The 16,527-nt window shown below is 53.5% G+C and overlaps 1 protein-coding gene and 1 long non-coding RNA gene across 16 annotated transcripts in view, besides 3 other annotated features; one reads left to right on the top strand and one right to left on the bottom strand.

Annotated features, from left to right (window-relative positions):
- Positions 1-12,213, top strand: part of POLA2 (DNA polymerase alpha 2, accessory subunit) — a 44,024-nt gene extending 31,811 nt beyond the window's left edge. Inside the window, exons 14-19 of one of the 8 annotated variants that reach the window (XR_007062468.1) lie at positions 381-489; positions 774-880; positions 1,768-1,827; positions 2,092-2,218; positions 5,277-5,361; positions 5,849-6,442. Coding sequence is in view for 6 of the 8 variants with exons in the window: in NM_002689.4 (NP_002680.2) it covers positions 381-489; positions 774-880; positions 1,768-1,827; positions 2,092-2,218; positions 3,348-3,497 (553 nt within the window). In the remaining 2 variants the exon portion in view is untranslated. Of the gene's footprint in view, positions 1-380; positions 490-773; positions 881-1,767; positions 1,828-2,091; positions 2,219-3,347; positions 4,914-5,276; positions 6,443-11,600 lie in introns of those variants that run through there. The other 7 variants (XR_007062469.1, NM_001438747.1, XM_011544878.4 and 4 more) reach the window with 7 other exon arrangements.
- LOC105369344 (uncharacterized) overlaps positions 1-16,527 on the bottom strand; it is a 20,917-nt gene continuing 4,390 nt past the window's right edge. For 3 of the 8 annotated variants that reach the window (XR_007062726.1, XR_007062723.1, XR_007062724.1), the window contains exon 2: positions 11,573-15,435. This is a non-coding gene — a long non-coding RNA (uncharacterized LOC105369344). Of the gene's footprint in view, positions 1,853-11,572; positions 15,436-16,527 lie in introns of those variants that run through there. The other 5 variants (XR_001748262.3, XR_007062725.1, XR_007062727.1 and 2 more) reach the window with 4 other exon arrangements.
- Positions 7,533-8,070: an enhancer, noted in NCBI's record as "H3K27ac-H3K4me1 hESC enhancer chr11:65068776-65069313 (GRCh37/hg19 assembly coordinates)". NCBI's record gives its function as "activates a minimal SCP1, AML or CMV promoter by ChIP-STARR-seq in primed H9 embryonic stem cells {active_cell/tissue: H9 hESC(primed)}" and the evidence as "EXISTENCE:reporter gene assay evidence [ECO:0000049][PMID:30033119]".
- Positions 8,071-8,607: an enhancer, noted in NCBI's record as "H3K27ac-H3K4me1 hESC enhancer chr11:65069314-65069850 (GRCh37/hg19 assembly coordinates)". NCBI's record gives its function as "activates a minimal SCP1, AML or CMV promoter by ChIP-STARR-seq in naive H9 embryonic stem cells {active_cell/tissue: H9 hESC(naive)}" and the evidence as "EXISTENCE:reporter gene assay evidence [ECO:0000049][PMID:30033119]".
- Positions 16,196-16,527: part of an enhancer, noted in NCBI's record as "H3K4me1 hESC enhancer chr11:65077439-65078046 (GRCh37/hg19 assembly coordinates)", that runs on past the window's edge. NCBI's record gives its function as "activates a minimal SCP1, AML or CMV promoter by ChIP-STARR-seq in naive H9 embryonic stem cells {active_cell/tissue: H9 hESC(naive)}" and the evidence as "EXISTENCE:reporter gene assay evidence [ECO:0000049][PMID:30033119]".

Raw genomic sequence — 16,527 nt, forward strand, 5'->3', positions numbered from 1 at the left:
TTTAAACTCTGGCTCTGAGGCTGTGATTCTTTATTCACATCCTTGTCTTTCTAGACTTTCTAGATCTCCATTTCTTTGCCCCTTTTTCTGCCAAAAAATAGTCTCCATCCTCTCAGTAGAAAGCCACACAGAGCAACAAGAAAGTGTCCCAGGCAATCGGAGCCTGTCCAGATGGATGGGTGTGAAGTAGAACAAACTGTCCTTTACTCCCAGTGTCCCATGGGAAACAGCGTCTCTGTTCATAACAGAGTGCAGTTCTGAGCTGCCTCCCTCGGGGTGGGCTCTGCCTCCAGCCTGAGGCATCCCACCTGTTGCGCAGCTGTTCTAACTCAACTGCACTCACTTTTCTCACTCTTCTGTTTGTTCTTTTGCCATACTAGCTCCGGCTCCCACCTTGTCTTTGTCCCGTCATTGAGAGATGTGCACCATGAGCCTGTGTACCCCCAGCCGCCTTTCAGCTACTCCGATCTGTCTCGAGAGGACAAAAAGGTAGCAGCACCCACTCCTTGACCAGCAGGCAGCCAGAATCCAGCATGCCTCTGCCACTAGCTCTGGCCCTGAAGGGGAGGGTGGAGAGGCCTCTTTAGGGTGTGCGTACAGCCTGAATCTTAAACTCCTTTTTTTAAACAGGCAAATGTGTCCAAAAGCTTGATGTATGTTGGTTTGGTCCCCCTTTCCGTGGTCTCCCCAGCCCTCAGACAACCCCCACTTTCATGGGAAGATGTTTCTAGCTTTGGCATACAAATGTTTGTTTCAATCCGTTCTCATTTTAGCAAGTACAGTTTGTGTCCGAGCCCTGCAGCCTCTCCATAAACGGAGTGATCTTCGGCTTGACATCCACAGATCTGCTTTTCCACCTGGGGGCCGAGGAGATCAGTAGGTAAGAAGTGTGTTCCAGGCCCCAAGCAGGATGACTGGCTTTCTGGTCCCAGCCCTTTCTGCAGCCAAGAAAATCAAGGGGCTGCTTAACGGTCTTGACCAGAGAGAGCTGAAAGCAGCAAGCTGTGCCAGACCCTCTAGCCATCTGAGTTTCTCTGTACCCAAGGGGAGGGGTTGGATGCATTAGTTTCTGTTACCACCTCTCTAAACTGCGTTTGAGACCCCAAAGAACCACGTCCATTCTGTCTTTGCACTTAAAGGCATCAAAATTCATCTACATTTTCTTTTCTGCTCCCCTTTTTTTTCATTTCCCAAATTTGTGACCTGAAAACAAATGTGGACATCCTGTTTGTGGAGGATAAACTGGGAATTTTCTCTGAAGGATTTTCTTCACTACCAGTACAACATCCAGCTCTGCAGAGAATCAGGCCCTGACAAATTTGTTGAGTTGAAGTTGGGCAGCTCCGTTCTGCCGTCATCCTTGATGGGAAGGGGCATGTGAAGCGACTCGCGTGTGAAGCGAGACGGGTGCGGCTCCTTGGCTGAGGTTTGAGATTCAGGTCAGCCTGGCTACACACCCGCCTCATGATGGTGCCAACTTTGCATCCTCTTGCACAGTACGGTGCTGGCTAATGGCCTTCCTTGATCTTGATTATGAGGGATTCCTGTGCTTTCCCTTCTCAACCTGGTGTCCTGCGTCCCTCCTCATGTGGGGACAGACTGAGCTCCTTGTGGGTGGGTCTTTAAACTTCCCCAGAGGCATCCTCCTCTTGTTGCTGTGCCTTGGCCATTTACCTTCTCTCTGGTTTATTAAATTCTCCAGTCCTCCCTGAAGAGAAATGGGCTGAAAAACAGAGTTCTGTTTTCATGCTTTCTTTTCTTTCCCAGTTCTTCCGGAACTTCAGACAGATTCAGCCGAATACTCAAGCACATCTTGACCCAGAGGAGGTGAGCTTGCCGCTGGGACCCCTGACTGTGGAGAGAGTGCCTTGGGGTCATGGAGCTATGACAAGCATGACTGTAAGAGCCTTCACCAGGCTACCAGCAGGGAACTTTACCCTGTGATGACAAGCCTGCATTCTGCCCCACACACACAGAGAAAAAGTCGGTCTGTGGATGCCAGCAGCACGAAAGCCAGTACCTAGGGGGACTCTGTCTGAGAAGGGGGCCCCCCGGTCAGCTAGTGCTGACAATTTCTCTCTGTCTCTGTAGCTACTACCCACTCTACCCGCCCCAAGAAGACATGGCCATTGACTATGAGTCGTTCTATGTTTACGCACAGCTGCCTGTCACCCCAGATGTCCTCATCATCCCGTCAGAGCTGAGGTACTTCGTGAAGGTAGGTTTGAACTCTGCTTTTTCCCAGAAACACCAGAACCCAGTCTTTGACTTTCCCTTCTAGACCACCCGGCACTCACCCCTCATGGGTCAGCTGATGGGGATGGGGCCTCTAGCACCCTGCCCTGTGGCCTTGTTTCTTTGGGGAGGTGGTGGGACCAGAAAACAAACAACTCTGTCAGTAAAATGCTTGAGTAAACAGTGTCCTCTCCTCCCTCCCCAAGAGAACGAGAGCCCAGATGACTAGGAAGGCCCTCAAATGAGGGCTTTCACCAGGCCACATAGAGGTGACCTGGGGAAGATTTCATATGTACACTTGCCTGTCCTCTGCCTCCCAAATTCTGATATGACCTCCAAGTGGGCTCAGCTGGGAATACCTTGAAGAAGCTATTGGGTCATTTTGATCTCTGCCACCCTTTAGCCCTGCCTGCCTTGGAGTTAGGTCCCTTACAAGGAATCTGCCTAGACCAGTCCCCCTCTTGCCAAACAAGAGTTAGTTCAATCTCAAGAGGTTAAAAAAAAGTTTTTCACATGAGAAAGCAGTAAACAGCTAGATCAGGTTTGTCTCCAAGTTTAGGAGCTGATTGTCATTCTGCCAAGTCACCTCATTCTTCTGTTTGAAAGACTTAAAAGGAATTCAAAGCTTTCTAGTGACAAGTTAACATATGTGACTGAGGCCGGGCGCAGTGGTTGACAATTGTAATCCCAGCACTTTGGGAGGCCGAGGTGGGTGGATCACCTGAGGTCAGGAGTCTGAGACCAGCCTGGCCAACATGGTAAAACCCCATCTCTACTAAAAATACAAAAATTAGCCAGGCATGGTGGTGTGGGTGCCTGTAATCCAAGCTACCTGGGAGCCTGAGGCAGGAGAATCGCTGGAACCCGGGAGGTCGAGGCTGCAGTGAGCTGAGATCTCACCACTGCACTCCAGCCTGGGCAACAGAGCGAGACTCCATCTCAAAAAAAAAAAAAAAAAAAGTGACTGAAAATGTGTCTGGTGATTTGGTTGCCTTCGTTTCCATTTTCTAAAACCCTCTTTGGGGTCCAGCCATGTGATGGCACTTCTTTTTCACATTGGTTCCCAGTTAGTTGAGGCTCTCCAAACCTGTCACCTCTCCTCTCCTCCCCAGGATGTCCTCGGCTGTGTCTGTGTGAACCCTGGGCGCCTTACCAAAGGGCAGGTGGGAGGCACCTTCGCCCGACTCTACCTTAGGAGGCCGGCAGCGGACGGGGCAGAGAGGCAGAGCCCATGCATTGCTGTGCAGGTCGTCAGGATCTGAGGCTTCTGTCCTCTGCTGTTCTCTGCTGTGTGGGCCCTTAAAGTCTTAGCCAAGAGCCAAGACATAGCCCTGTGACAAGGTGAACAGTTGGGTGGGAAAGGAGAGAGGAGCCAGCCAGGGAGGGGCAGCTGCAGTGACCAGGCCCAGCAGGGAGGACTTGTGCAGCCGGGCCTGCCTCTGAGTGGTGCCTCTCCTGGAAGGAAGCTCTTGCTTCTCAGTCCATGCTCCGTGTCCAGAAGTAAGCCAGCTGTGGATCCCGCCCACTCAGAAAAGGCGAGAAGGCTTTGTGATTTTCTACATGAATCAAACACAGAAACAACTTTTGGAGAAATTAAATTCTGAGTGTGACTTCTGAGTTTGACCTTTCTTCTATTTTCTTTTATTTATTTATTTTGTTTTTAGACGGAGTCTCGATCTGTCGCCCAGGCTGGAGTGCAGTGGTGAGATCTCGGCTCACTGCAAGCTCTGCCGCCCGGGTTCATGCCATTCTCCTGCCTCAGCCTCCTGAGTAGCTGGGACTACAGGCACCCACCACCACGCCTGGCTAATTTTTTGTATTTTTAGTGGAGATGGGGTTTCACCATGTTAGCCAGGATGGTCTCGATCTCCTGACCTTGTGATCTGTCCGCCTCAGCCTCCCAAAGTGCTGGGATTACAGGCGTGAGCCACCGCGCCCGGCCCCTTTCTTCTATTTTCTTTATCCTGGTAGTAGACAAAGAATGTTGCCTATTTGACCTATGTCCAGAGAAGGCAGAGTGTCAGTCACACTGGGTTTCTATCCAGCCCCAGTCCTGTCCAGTGGGTAACTCTCAGCCCCACTCCTCATCCCCCAAAGGCCCCAGTGACCTCTATGCTGCAGAGGTGCACTGGGTGGGCCCTAGAGCTGGGCTGCAGAGCAAGCAACTGGCTGCATGCCTGGGCCTCCCTGCGCAGTTCCTCACATGCATGCTGTGGTCCCAGCCTGACCTCTCCATCTGGAGGGGGCCGCCTCGCTGGGCTGTTCCAAAGCTGGAGTCCTGGTGGCAGCTGCTTTGCCAAGTCGCGCAGTAGCCAGGGCTTGCCTGCAGCCCAGAACACTCAGACAGGGTCAGGCCTTCCAGGGTTCACAGCACGTCCCATGCCCCTATGTCCTGGCATCTGGGGAAAAGCTGTCACTGGCCAGACGTGGAGTGGCTTCCTGCCCTAAGCTGGCAGGCTGTCCTGCCTCACATGCCAGAGCCAAGACCGGCAAACCCCAGCTGTCAGGGCAGGGAAGTGGGCAAGGGGGCAGCAAGCTGCTGGTGTCTATGCCTTGACTCCGAGATAAATAGATGACCTAACAGTGGCCAACTTTTGCCTCTCACCTTTCTGACGGTGAAATGGAATCGAGCCCCAGACCTGACCAGGGTACAGTAAAAGGTCTTCCTTTAAACACAAGGAGCAGCTGTTTTATTTCATTAGTTTTATAGGCACCTCCTCTGAGGCCAAGAATTAGAAACTCATCCCTGCGTGGGGAGTGGATTTTTCCGTTCTCCCCCAGCTCCTCCACACATGAAGCAGCCAGCTGTGTTCCACGGGGGCACCATGACTTGTCAGCCTCCGGATGTGGAATTTTGGGAGCCCAGGCAATGGTTGCCTGGATACCAGTCGTGTGACTGTTGGAAATGATCTGGGAGGGCCGGGAGGGCCGGAGCAGGCATTTAAGAGTCAGACAAAGAGAAAGCGGGATGCTAACACCAGAGCAGACAGGTCTGGCAGGCGTGCCTCTGCCACCAGACAGTTCCTTTTTGCTCTTGTCAGGAAGGTGCCAAGTGACTGCTGGCTGACCGTCCCTAGACCCCACTTCAGCTGTGTCACCAGTTTCCCCAGGCATCTGTCATCCCAGGTATTCTCAAGCAGGCTCTGGGGGCGTGTCAGTGACGGAGGGTGGGAGGGTGCCCAGGAGGTCAGGCCCGTCTGCCTCAGCCCCCTTTGGTGGCCTCTCCCTGATCTGGTCATGGCCCCTGCCCTTGAGACACCAACTAGACGGTCCTGAAGAAATAGTCCCGAGCTCTTGCCAGGATTTGCCTCCCATGCCCATGCCCTTGCCCTGCCTCTGCCCTGGCAGAAGGAGCCGCCCTCCCTTACCCGCCTCGTGGCTTCCCTTTAGGGTTCCAGTCTCTGAGAGGGAGAGGGAGAGCTGCTGAGGGAACAGAAGCCACTCCTAGTTGCTGTTCCTGGGAACCCAAGTGGGTGCCAAGAATGCAGCGAGGGAATTAGGGCCTCGAGGGGCACCCAAGGTTGGGGGCCGGCAGGGCCATGGCGCGGATCCTCCATCCAGCTCTGCCTTCTGCAGCCACTGGGGCTTGGGGTTTCCTTTCCTTTGACCTCAGGGCACCCGGCCCAGCTCAACCTGGCCTTGCTGCTTCACTACTGCTGGGAGTAGCCATCTGCGCTGATTTCTCACTCCACCAACCCCACCCCGACAGAGTCTCACTCTGTCGTCCGGGCTGGAGTGCAGTGGCGCGATCTCGGCTCACTGCAACCTCCACCTCCCAGGTTCAAGCGATTCTCCTGCCTCAACCTCCCGAGTAGCTGAGATTACAGGCGCCTGCCACCACGCCCAGCTAATTTTTGTATTTTCAGTAGAGACGGGGTTTCGCCATCTTGGCCAGACTGGTCTCAAACTCCTGACCTCAAGTGATCCACCCGCCTCAGCATCCTAGAGTGCTGGGATTACAGGCGTGAGCCACCATGCCCATTTTAAAGTGTATGATTCAGTGGTTTTTAGTATGTTCATGGTGTTGTGCAGGCCTCGCCACCATCTAATTCCAGAGTATTTTCATCACCCCAAAGGAAACCCTGCACCCATTAGCAGTCTAATCCCATCCCCTGGCAATCATTAATCTAATTTCTTTTCTGTAGATTTGCCTATTTTGGGCATTTTGTATAAATGGAATCATACAATACATCCTCTTTTTTTTTGAGACAGAGTTTTGCTCTTGTCACCCAGGCTGGAGTGCAGTAGCGCAATCTCGGCTCACTGCAACCTCTGCCTCCCGGGTTCGATGGATTATCCTGCCTCAGCCTCCTGAGTAGCTGGGATTACAGGTGCCTGCCACCACACCTGGCTGATTTTTATATTTTTAGTAAAGACAGGGTTTTGCCATATTGGCCAGGCTGGTCTCAAACTCCTGACCTCAGGGTTCAGCCTCCTGAGTAGCTGAGATTACAGGTGTGTCTAGAACTCCTGACCTCAGGTGATCCACTCGCCTCGGCCTCCCAAAGTGTTGGGATTACAGGCATGAGACACCGTGCCTGGCCCATGCTCTTTTCTGTCAGGTTTTGTTTGTTTGTTTTTTTGTTTGTTTCTGAGACAGAGTCTCACTCTGTCACTCAGGCTGGAGTGCAGTGGCACGATCTCTGCTCACTGCAACCTCCACCTTCCGGGTTCAAACGATTCTCCTGCCTCAGCCTCCTGTGTAGCTGGGATTACAGGCACCCGCCACCGTGCCAACTGATTTTTGTATTTTTAGTAGAGACAGGGTTTCACCATGTTGCCCAGGCTGGTCTCGAACCACTGACCTCAAGTGATCCGCCCACCTCGGCTTCCCAGAGTGTTGGGATTACAGGCGTAAGCCACTGCACCCGGCCTGTCAGGTTTGTTTCACTTAGCATGATGTTTTCAAGGTTTGTCCCTGCAGCAGCATGTATCAGTCCGCCATTCTTTTTTATGGCTAAGATCCCACTGTATGGCTATACGGTATTTTATCAGTGCATCCACTGTCGGGTTTTTCCCCTTGTGGACTATTATGAATAGTGGACGCTTGTGTGCAAGCTTTGTGTGAACACCTGTTTTCAGTTCTCTTGGGTATGTTCCTAGGAATGGGGAGGGGCTTTAGATTTACGAAGGAAGACAAGGCAAAGAGAGGGAGGGAGGAGGGACAGAGGGCGAGAGAGGGGTAAAAGAAAAGAGGGAAAGGGAAGGGAGGCAGTGATGGGCCCGGAATGGTGCTTCAGAGCCAGATTGTGAAGTCTTGCTAAGGCATTTGGACCTGATTCTTTCTGCCCCAGAGAATCTTGGAAGGGTTTGCCTCCCACCCCCTGTGCCTCACCCTGACCACCCAACAAGGACCAACTTAAGAGGAGTCCCAGGTGCAGCCTCAGTACCTGGTAGCATGTAGCAAAGGGGTGGTTTGAGGGGAGAGGGGCTCAGGGGAGGGGCCTGGGTCTGTTGGGGCAGGTCGGGAGGAAGAGGGGCACCAAGTGGGCCATTGGAATACTGGAAGCAGCACTCCAGTGAGACATGGGCGTTGGAGGGGTAGATGTGGGAGTCACTGCAGTCAAAAGCCACAGAACTGGGTGCTGGGAGGGTGGCCGAGAGATGGATGGGCAACATCCGCACCATGGAGAGGACTCTGGCCAGCACTTGCACTTAGCATCACTGATCAACAAGGCAAAAGGGTGGGACTGGCCTGGGGGCAGGGGAGGGAAGAGGGATGGCAACAGAGAGGTGCTGGGATTTCTGGCTAAAGAGACCAGAAGACACCCATGGTTGTTCATGGCAAGACTCCCAGCTGCATTCAGGCATTTGGGACCTTCTGTCACCGTCATTGGTCATTCTGGGTCTTCAGTCCCCAAGCGACCATGCCTACTGCTGCTTTCGTGGGTCAGCCCTGGAAATGCCCAGGGGCCTAGGGGCTGGCCTGCCCTCAGACCCAGCTGGACTGCCGCTGGCTCTGAATTCCTCCATCCTGCCCCGCCTCTTCCCGGGGCTCTAGGCTCCTCCCCACCCAGAGCCTGCCTGACAGCTGAGGCCCTGCAGCTGCCCAGGCAAAGGGGCCCCTGGGAGGTCTCAGGGACAGCTGCTGCCCATAACCTTGCTGACCCTGGCCCCTGCACACTGCTCCCTGAGATCCCAGGCTTCTGCCCAGCAGCCAGCAGGACCCTACCAAGCCCCATCTTCTCTGCTCACTCCCATCGCTCCCAGATCTTCCCAGGGGCTGAAGCATTTTGGGCTGAGCATTTTCGTGCTGAGTCAGCAGGCCCCACCCAAAGAGTGAGAAAAGCTGCTGGGTAGAGGCACCCCTAGCCCCGCTCCTGCTTCAGAGGAAGTGCCTTTCAGGGGTGGATGAGGGGTACACCTGCCTCCGTCAGGCAGGCTTGGCCCTGTTCAACAGGGTGGGGACCCTGCCCTCCCACCACCTGCCTCCTACCACAGAACAGGGCACAAGGGTGGCACAAGGGGAAAAAGGAGAAGGCACCATCACTCCTGATTCCCAGCGAATAGGGGGAAAAGGCATACTCACTCCTGATTCCTGGCAGCTTCTTCCCTTGAAGGTCCACTTTCCTCCTGAGGACTCGAGGCCCCTTCAAATTGCCCCTTAGAATGTTTCTAGTAATAGTAGTTGCCTCTGGGGACGGGTGTCCAAGGGCTAGGGGTCAGGAGTAGGAGGGCTCAGAGAACGATTTGTCATGTCCACACTCAACCTGTTTGAATTTTTTTTTTTATTTTTTTGGAGACAGAGTCTCACTCTGTCGCCCAGTCTAAGTGCTGTGGTGCCATCACAGCTCGCTGCAGCCTCAACCTCCCAGGCTCAAGTGATCCTCTTGCATCCGCCTCCTGAGTAGCTGGGACCACAGGTGTGCGCCACCACACCCAGCTAATTTTTGAGTTTTTGATAGAGACAGTTTCGCCACGTTGCCCAGGCCAGTTCAAGCAATCCTCCTGCCTGAGCCTCCCAAATTGTTGGGACTACAGGCATGAACCACCACACCCAGCTGTGTTTGAAATTTTTTACCATGTGTCTGGATTACTTTAAAAGAAGGTGGGGGCCAGGCGCGGTGGCTGACGCCTGTAATCCCAGCACTTTGGGAGGCCGAGGCGGGTGGATCATGAGGTCAGGAGATCAAGACCATCCTGGCTAACACGGTGAAACCCCGTCTCTACTAAAAACACAAAAAATTGGCCGGGCATGGTGGCAGGCACCTGTAGTCCCAGCTACTCAGGAGGCTGAGTCAGGAGAATGGCGTGAACCCGGGAGGTGGAGCTTGCAGTAAGCGGAGATCGCACCACTGCACTCCAGCCTGGGCAACGGAGTGAGACTCTGTCTCCAAAAAAAAAAAAAAAAAAACCGAAGAAGGTGGGGATGGGCACAGTGGCTCATGCTTATAATCCCAGCAATTTGGGAGGCTGAGGCAGGAAGATCACTTGAGCCCAGGCAGTGGAGATTGCAGTGAGCTGACATTGTGCCACTGCGCTCCAGCCTGGGCGATAGAGCAAGACTCAGTCTCAAAAAAAAAGAGGGGGTAGAGTGGTGGGAATAGACATATACAAATGTTTATATGTCGATCCAGCTTTCTGTAAGCACTCCACACCCCACAGCTGTTGTAGCATCCACCTCCTTGGGAGGCAGGCTCTCAGAATCCCTGCTCCCTGAGGGCAGGGAGTGTCATGTTCACTGTTGTCTCACTGGTCCCTAGACAGTGCTTGGCACATAGTAGGCCCACAAAGAAACTCCTGCAGAAGCAGTGCCCTCCTATGACATGCCTCTCCACCTTCCAGAAGCAGGCAGCTTGGAAAGAAAAGAGGTGGGAGGCCCACCTGCAGGGACAGCACAACACCTGCTAAGGGCCCTGCAGGTTGGGGGTCTCTCCTCGGCAGCGGGATGCAGAAATGAATGAGTGGACAGAATCTCTGCTGCCACCCAGAGCTGCCACTCCAGCACAGAAACCTGTAAACAGTGGACACTGCAGAGCATCAGATGGAGTCAAGTGTGTCAGATGGAGAAAACCAGAGCAGGCCAAGGGCAGAGGTGCCTGGAGTTGTGGTGGGTGCTGCACAGAGGAGGGGTCACCAGCTCCCAACTTTTATTTCCTAAACATGTGTCTCCCATACACCCTCTTCTTGCTATCCCCGGCATCCTACCATCCACCCATCCGTCCACCCATCCATTTACCTAACCATCCATTCTTCCATCCATCCGTCCATCCATTCATCTACCCACCCACCCATCTATCTATCCATCCACGTAACCATCCATCCTTTCTTCCATCCATCCATCCTTCCATCCACCCACCCACCCACTCATCCATCCATCCATAGACTTAACCATCCATCCATTCATCCATCCACCCACCCATGAACTTAACCATCCATCTTTTCATCCATCCATCAACCCACCCATCAACCCACCCATCCACCCAACCATCCACCCACCCACCCATCCATCCACTCATCCATATTCACTGGGTGCCTACCACATGGCACACACTCTGGGGGACTGGCTATGATCCAATGGAAAATGGACATGAACCAAATGACAACGCCACGGAGAGGTCCATGGTCCAGAGTTTCCCACGGTATCACAAGGTGACCCAACATCAATGGGGGTCCAGAAAGCTTCCCTGAGGGGAGACATCACAGCTGAGAGCCACGGGAGGCATGGGGGTGGCCAGGTGAGGTGGAGGGAGCAAATCGCAGGGCTCATGGAGGAGCATGTGCAGGGACCTAGCCCTGGAGGCTGGGCACCGCCGACAGCTGACAGGCACATGTTCAGGGCAGCAGGCATGGAGCACTGGCTGGAGGCTGAAGAGGCTAGCAGGGGCCCTGCTGCAGGTTTGTGACCATGGCAGCACACGAACAGGGCACGTGGCAGTCAGAGTGGTGTTTTTGTCTATCACCATGTGGTGTGGAGAATAGGCAGGCAGCACATCATCCTGGCCCCCAAAACCCTTGCGGGCTCCATTCTCCCCCCACCCCCACCCTGTCACCCAAGTTGTAAGCCTGGACTGGGCCTGACTCCCCCTTCTTCCTCCATGGCCCTCCATGGGGGCTAACCTATCACCTAATCTCAGCCTTTCAACTTCATCATCTCCATCTCCAGCTCTCACACCACTCTTCAGGACCAAATTTTCTCTCCCTTCTACGCTAACTGTCCCCAGAAGTGGCCTCTGCCTCTAGTCTGGCCTCCCTCCAGGCCCCCCTCTCCAAAGCTGCCCGGCACCACCTCTGCAGAAATTCTGCAGTTCATTCACCAAAAAGAAACACATGTGGCTCTTAAGCAAATGAAAAGGTGACCAGCCTCACGCATCGTAAGAGAAACGCAAACTCTAACTACACCCAAATTCCTTTGTTTTGTTTAGTTTTTGCCTTTCAGATGGACAAAAATCAAAATAGGTGGAAACCAGGGGCTGGTGAGCCTGAGGAGAAACAGCCCTGTTGACTGTGTGGGGGCCTGGTACCTGGCACAGTCTCCAAGAAGGACAAGCTGACAGAGCTGACAAAATGACCACTGCAAGCTGGGCACGGTGGTGCGTGCCTGTAGTCCCAGCCACGCAGGAGGCCAAGGCGGGAGGATGGCTTAAGCCCAGGAGGTCGAGGCTGCAGTCAGCTATGATGACACCATTGTACATTGTACTCCAGCCTGGGTGACAGAGCAGGACCCTGTCTCTAAAATAACAATAATAAGACACCACTGCATGTATCTTTTGCCCCCCAGTCCTCCCAAGTCCCTTCTGGGAATGTATTCCGCAGCAGCGCTCGTGCATGTGTGAAAGGGCTTTTGTACAGATGACTCACTGCGGCACGGCCTGTCTTGAGAAAGGGCTGGAAGCAACCTGAAGGTCCCTCTGCCAAGAAGTGCATCTGTAAATTACCATACATCCTTGTGCTGGAATACCGTGCAGCTGTGAAAATGAGGACACACTCTATGTATTGATGTAGAGTGGTCTCCAAAATATAACGTTAACTGGAAAACGCAAGGTGTCAAACAGCATGAACAGCAGAGGCTCAATGAAAGGGCTTCTCACAGTCCCGAGCAGGACGGCCCTCCGCCAGCTACCACCAGGGCCTGCAGTACTTTGGAACTCTACTTGTCTAAATATTGACATTTGTGTTAAAAAAAAAAAAAATGAGAGGGGCCCTGCTCGTTCATGCAAGAATATCCCTAGAAGTGTTTACAAGAAACTGATAACACCAGTTGGCTATAGCAGAATGGAGAACTGTCCCTGGGGGACAGGGATGAGACTTCTTGCCTCTTAGGACTTCAGAATTTCTTTTTCTTTCTTTCTTTTTTTTTTCTTTTTGAGATGGAGTTTCACTCTGTCGCTCAGGCACCCAGTACAGTGGTGTGATCTTGGCTCACCACAACCTTCGCCTCCCAGGTTCAAGCGACTCTCCTGCCTCAGCCTCCTGAGTAGCTGGGATTACAGGCACCCACCACCATGCCTGGCTAATTTCTGTATTTTTAGGAGAGACGAGGTTTTGCCATGTGGGCCAGGCTGGTCTCGAACTCCCGACCTCAGGTGATCCGCACCCCACCCCCTACCTTGGCCTCCCAAACTGTTGGGATTACAGGTGTGAGCCACCATATCCAGCCAACTTCTGAATTCTGAATCACATGAAAGCATTACCTCAGCCAGGCGCTTTGGCTCACCCTTATAACCCCAGCACTTTGGGAGGCCGAGGCAGATGAATTGCTTGAGCCCAGGAGTTCAAGACCAGCCTGGACAACATGGCGAAAACCCGTCTCTACAAAAAATACAAAGATTAGCAAATGGCATGTGCCTGTGGTCACAGCTACTCAGGAGGATTGCTTGGGCCCAGGAAGTTGAGGCTGCAGTGAGCAGTGATCACGCCGCTGCATTCCAGCGATACAGCAAGACCCTATCTCAAAGAAAGAAAAAGAAAAGAAAGAGCATTACCTAATCAAAAAGTAATTATTATTATTATTATTATTATTTTATTATTTTGAGACAGAGTCTCACTCTGTCGCCTAGGCTGGAGTGCAGTGGCACAATCTTGGCTCACTGCAACCTCCGCCTCCCAGGCTCAAGTGATTCTCCTGCCTCAGCCTCCTGAGTAGCTGCGACTACAGGCACGTGCCACCACGCCTCGCTAATTTTTGTATTTTTAGTAGAGACGGGTTTTCACCATGTTCCCCAGGCTGGTCTCGAACTCCTAACCTCAGCTGATCCACCCGCCTTGGCCTCCCAAAGTGCTGGGATTACAGGCGTGAGCCACCGCACCCGGCCTCAAAAAGTAATTTAAATGAAAGAAAATGCAGTTCTGATGGTGTTGTACCTCTACACACAGATCATCGTTGCCTTTCCCACAGCACTCGGCAACTCTCATGAGTGATCACCTGCCTTTAGCTATTCTGCAATGGGCCCTTCATTCTCAGTGGCAAGTGACAGACCCAACCCTAACTGTATTAAGCCAAAACTGGAATTTGTTGGCTCGTAGAATAGAAACTGCTTCAGGCATGACTGGATCCAGGAGCACAGGCAATGTCATTGAGATTCATTCTCTTGGTGCTGTTTTCTTCTATGTTGGCCTTATTCTTAGGCAGGCTCCCCCCTTAGGGTGGCAGAGCTGGCCACCAGCAGCTCTGGGCTGGCATCTTGACATTTGTGACCCTAACAGTCCCATCAAGTTCCTGGGCTGATGCTCTCTGATGTCATATGCTGGAGCCATTCCCATGACTCAGACTGGCTAGGCACAGGACTCAAACCCACTTTTAGAGCTTGAGGGTTGGGGGCCAGTCACACTGGAGACTAGAAAACTGAGGGACAGTCACCAGAGTGAGAGATGGATGCTGGGCAGGGAAAACAGTGCTTACCCACTACCCTCTTGGCCTGTCCCCTCTCCTATGCCATGGGCAACTGGACCTCTCTTGTTTTCTGCTCATACCATGACTTTACTTGCAATCCTCCTGGCCTTTGCCTTGCCAGGCCTCTGCCTGCTTCCCCTGGAATGTCCTTCCCTTTCTGTGCCTGGCAAACTCCTATTCATCCATTTATGCCCTGTTCACATATCACCTTCTCCTTGAAGCCCTTCTCACTCTCCCATCTGCTTTCCCACCCATAGCAGACAGATCTCATGGCTGTTCTCTTTGGTTTTTCATTCAATTCCCAGTCATTGGCTGAACCCCTCCGTGCTGGCCCGGGAGGGATAAAGGGCAGAATCAATTATTTGTTTCTCACGCAGGTTATCTGTTCCCTGAGGGCTGGGTCCAGCTTTGGCCACCTGTGTCTTCTCTAGTCCAGCATAGCCCTAGGCACAAGAGAGATGCAAGCCTAGGTTTTCAGAATGAGGAATGACAGGATACCTGGAAGGCACAGAAAGTGTGGAAGACAGCCTCTGCTGACTCCACAATTTACTCCCTACGACAAAATGACAGCCTTGGGGCTGGGACGCTCCCAGAGGGCTCTGGGAGGAAGTGCTTGGGCTGGTCCCTGCTAGGACAAGGCTGTCACCACTCTGGAAACCCCCATAGCCCTGGGCCCGAGGCCAAAATCCAGATGCGAAGGGAAGTGCCCCCAGCAAGGCCCTGCCACCCAACTCCCAAGGAGGGGTCCCAGGCAGAGGCAGCAGCTGGAGCCAACTCCGAGGGTGACCTCTCATCTCAAATCCCAGCCTCCAGTGGGTCACAGTTCTCTGAAGTGGGGTGAAGAGCGAGGAGGGCAGGGCTGGAGTTGGCAGGAGTCCAGGGGAGGAAGGAAGCAAGAAACAAGGAAAAAATCCAACCCAGGTCTGGGGTTGGCTCAGGCCACAGGGCCCTGCAGGCTGAGCTTAGGCTGGGACGTCAGAAGCTTCCAGAGGGTGGCTGAGCACCTTCTCAGCTCCCTGCCACCCTGCATCCCAGCAGAGGGACTGGGGCACCTCCAGAGACCCCTGTCACTTCTTAGCACCTCCCCTAGATGCACCCCCAAGATGCGCCTCCCCTAGATGCCACTCTTCCCTGTGACTCTGCTCCCAGACCCCAAGTCCCTGTCATCTCACCTGCCCCCCAGGGTCCTGGGTTCCAGGTTTCGTGCCCATGGAGAGCTGGCTTCAGCCTCCCTGGGGGTAGGAGGGAGCTTCCCTGCTGGTCTCTCCAATCTGGCCAGTGTTGCCGGAGGGGGCTTCCAACTCCATCCCCCAGGTCCCATGGGGGTGCTATGGCCGCTGGTGATGGCAATTTCCAGGAAGGAGAGGCTGGGAGGGGAAGGAAGGGCTGAGTCAGTCCCTGTGTAGTGATCACAGTCGGGGAGGTGGCTGTGGGGTTGGTTGGGGAGCCTATTGGGCCCATCTCAGGACAAGGGAGAGGCTCCAGGCTGAGGAGACAGAAGCCAAATACCCTGCTCTGGGTGTTTCTCCATCGTGGCCTGCTCTGCCCCTCCCAAATGCCCTTTTGTTTTTTTTTTAATTTTAATTTTTATTTTCTTAGACGGAGTCGCGCACTGTCGCCCAAGCTGGAGGGCAGTGGCGTGATCTCAGCTCACTGCAAGCTCCGCCTCCTGGGTTCATGCCATTCTCCTGCCTCAGCCTCCCAAGTAGCTGGGACTACAGGCACCCGCCACCATGCCAGGCTAATTTTTTGTATTTTTAGTAGAGACGGGGTTTCACCGTGTTAGCCAGGATGATCTCAATCTCCTCACCTCGTGATCGGCCTGCCTCAGCCTCCCAAGGTGCTGGGATTATAGGCGTGAGCCACCGCGCCCGGCCTTTTTTTTTTTTTTTTGAGATGGAGTCTTGCTGTGTCACCCAGGCTAGAGTGCAGTGGTACAGTCTTGGTCACTGCAACCCCTGCCTCCCAGGCTCAAGCAATTCTTCTGCCTCAGTCTCCCAAGTAGCTGGGACTACAGGCGTGTGCCACCACGCCTGGCTAATTTTTGTATTTTTAGTAGAGACGGGGTTTCACCATGTTGACCAGGCTGGTCTCGAACTCCTGACCTCAGTTGATCCGCCCACCTCAGCCTCCCAAAGTGCTGGGATGACAGGTGTGAGCCACCACATCCAGCCCCAGATGCCCTTTTGGATCCTGCCCCTGAGGTAGCAGGGTGTCCAGGAGCCCTTCTGTCCAGGACAGTCCAGGCCCTGGCTGAGGCATCAGACCCTAGGGTCCAGGCTGGGGGATGCAGCGCTTGGCCTGAGTGTCTTGGGTCAAAATGCAGGCCACGCTTCCCCGTGGCTCAGGCTATTCCAGCCTCCCTACCCACACCCCAGGCCCCTACATATAGCCTGAGAACTTGCACAAAAAAGCCAAGTTTAGTAAATGAAATCCTGTTTTATACATGGCCTTATGAA

The sequence above is a fragment of the Homo sapiens genome, chromosome 11, assembly GCF_000001405.40.
Source record: "Homo sapiens chromosome 11, GRCh38.p14 Primary Assembly".
NCBI classification, from domain to species: domain Eukaryota; kingdom Metazoa; phylum Chordata; class Mammalia; order Primates; family Hominidae; genus Homo; species Homo sapiens.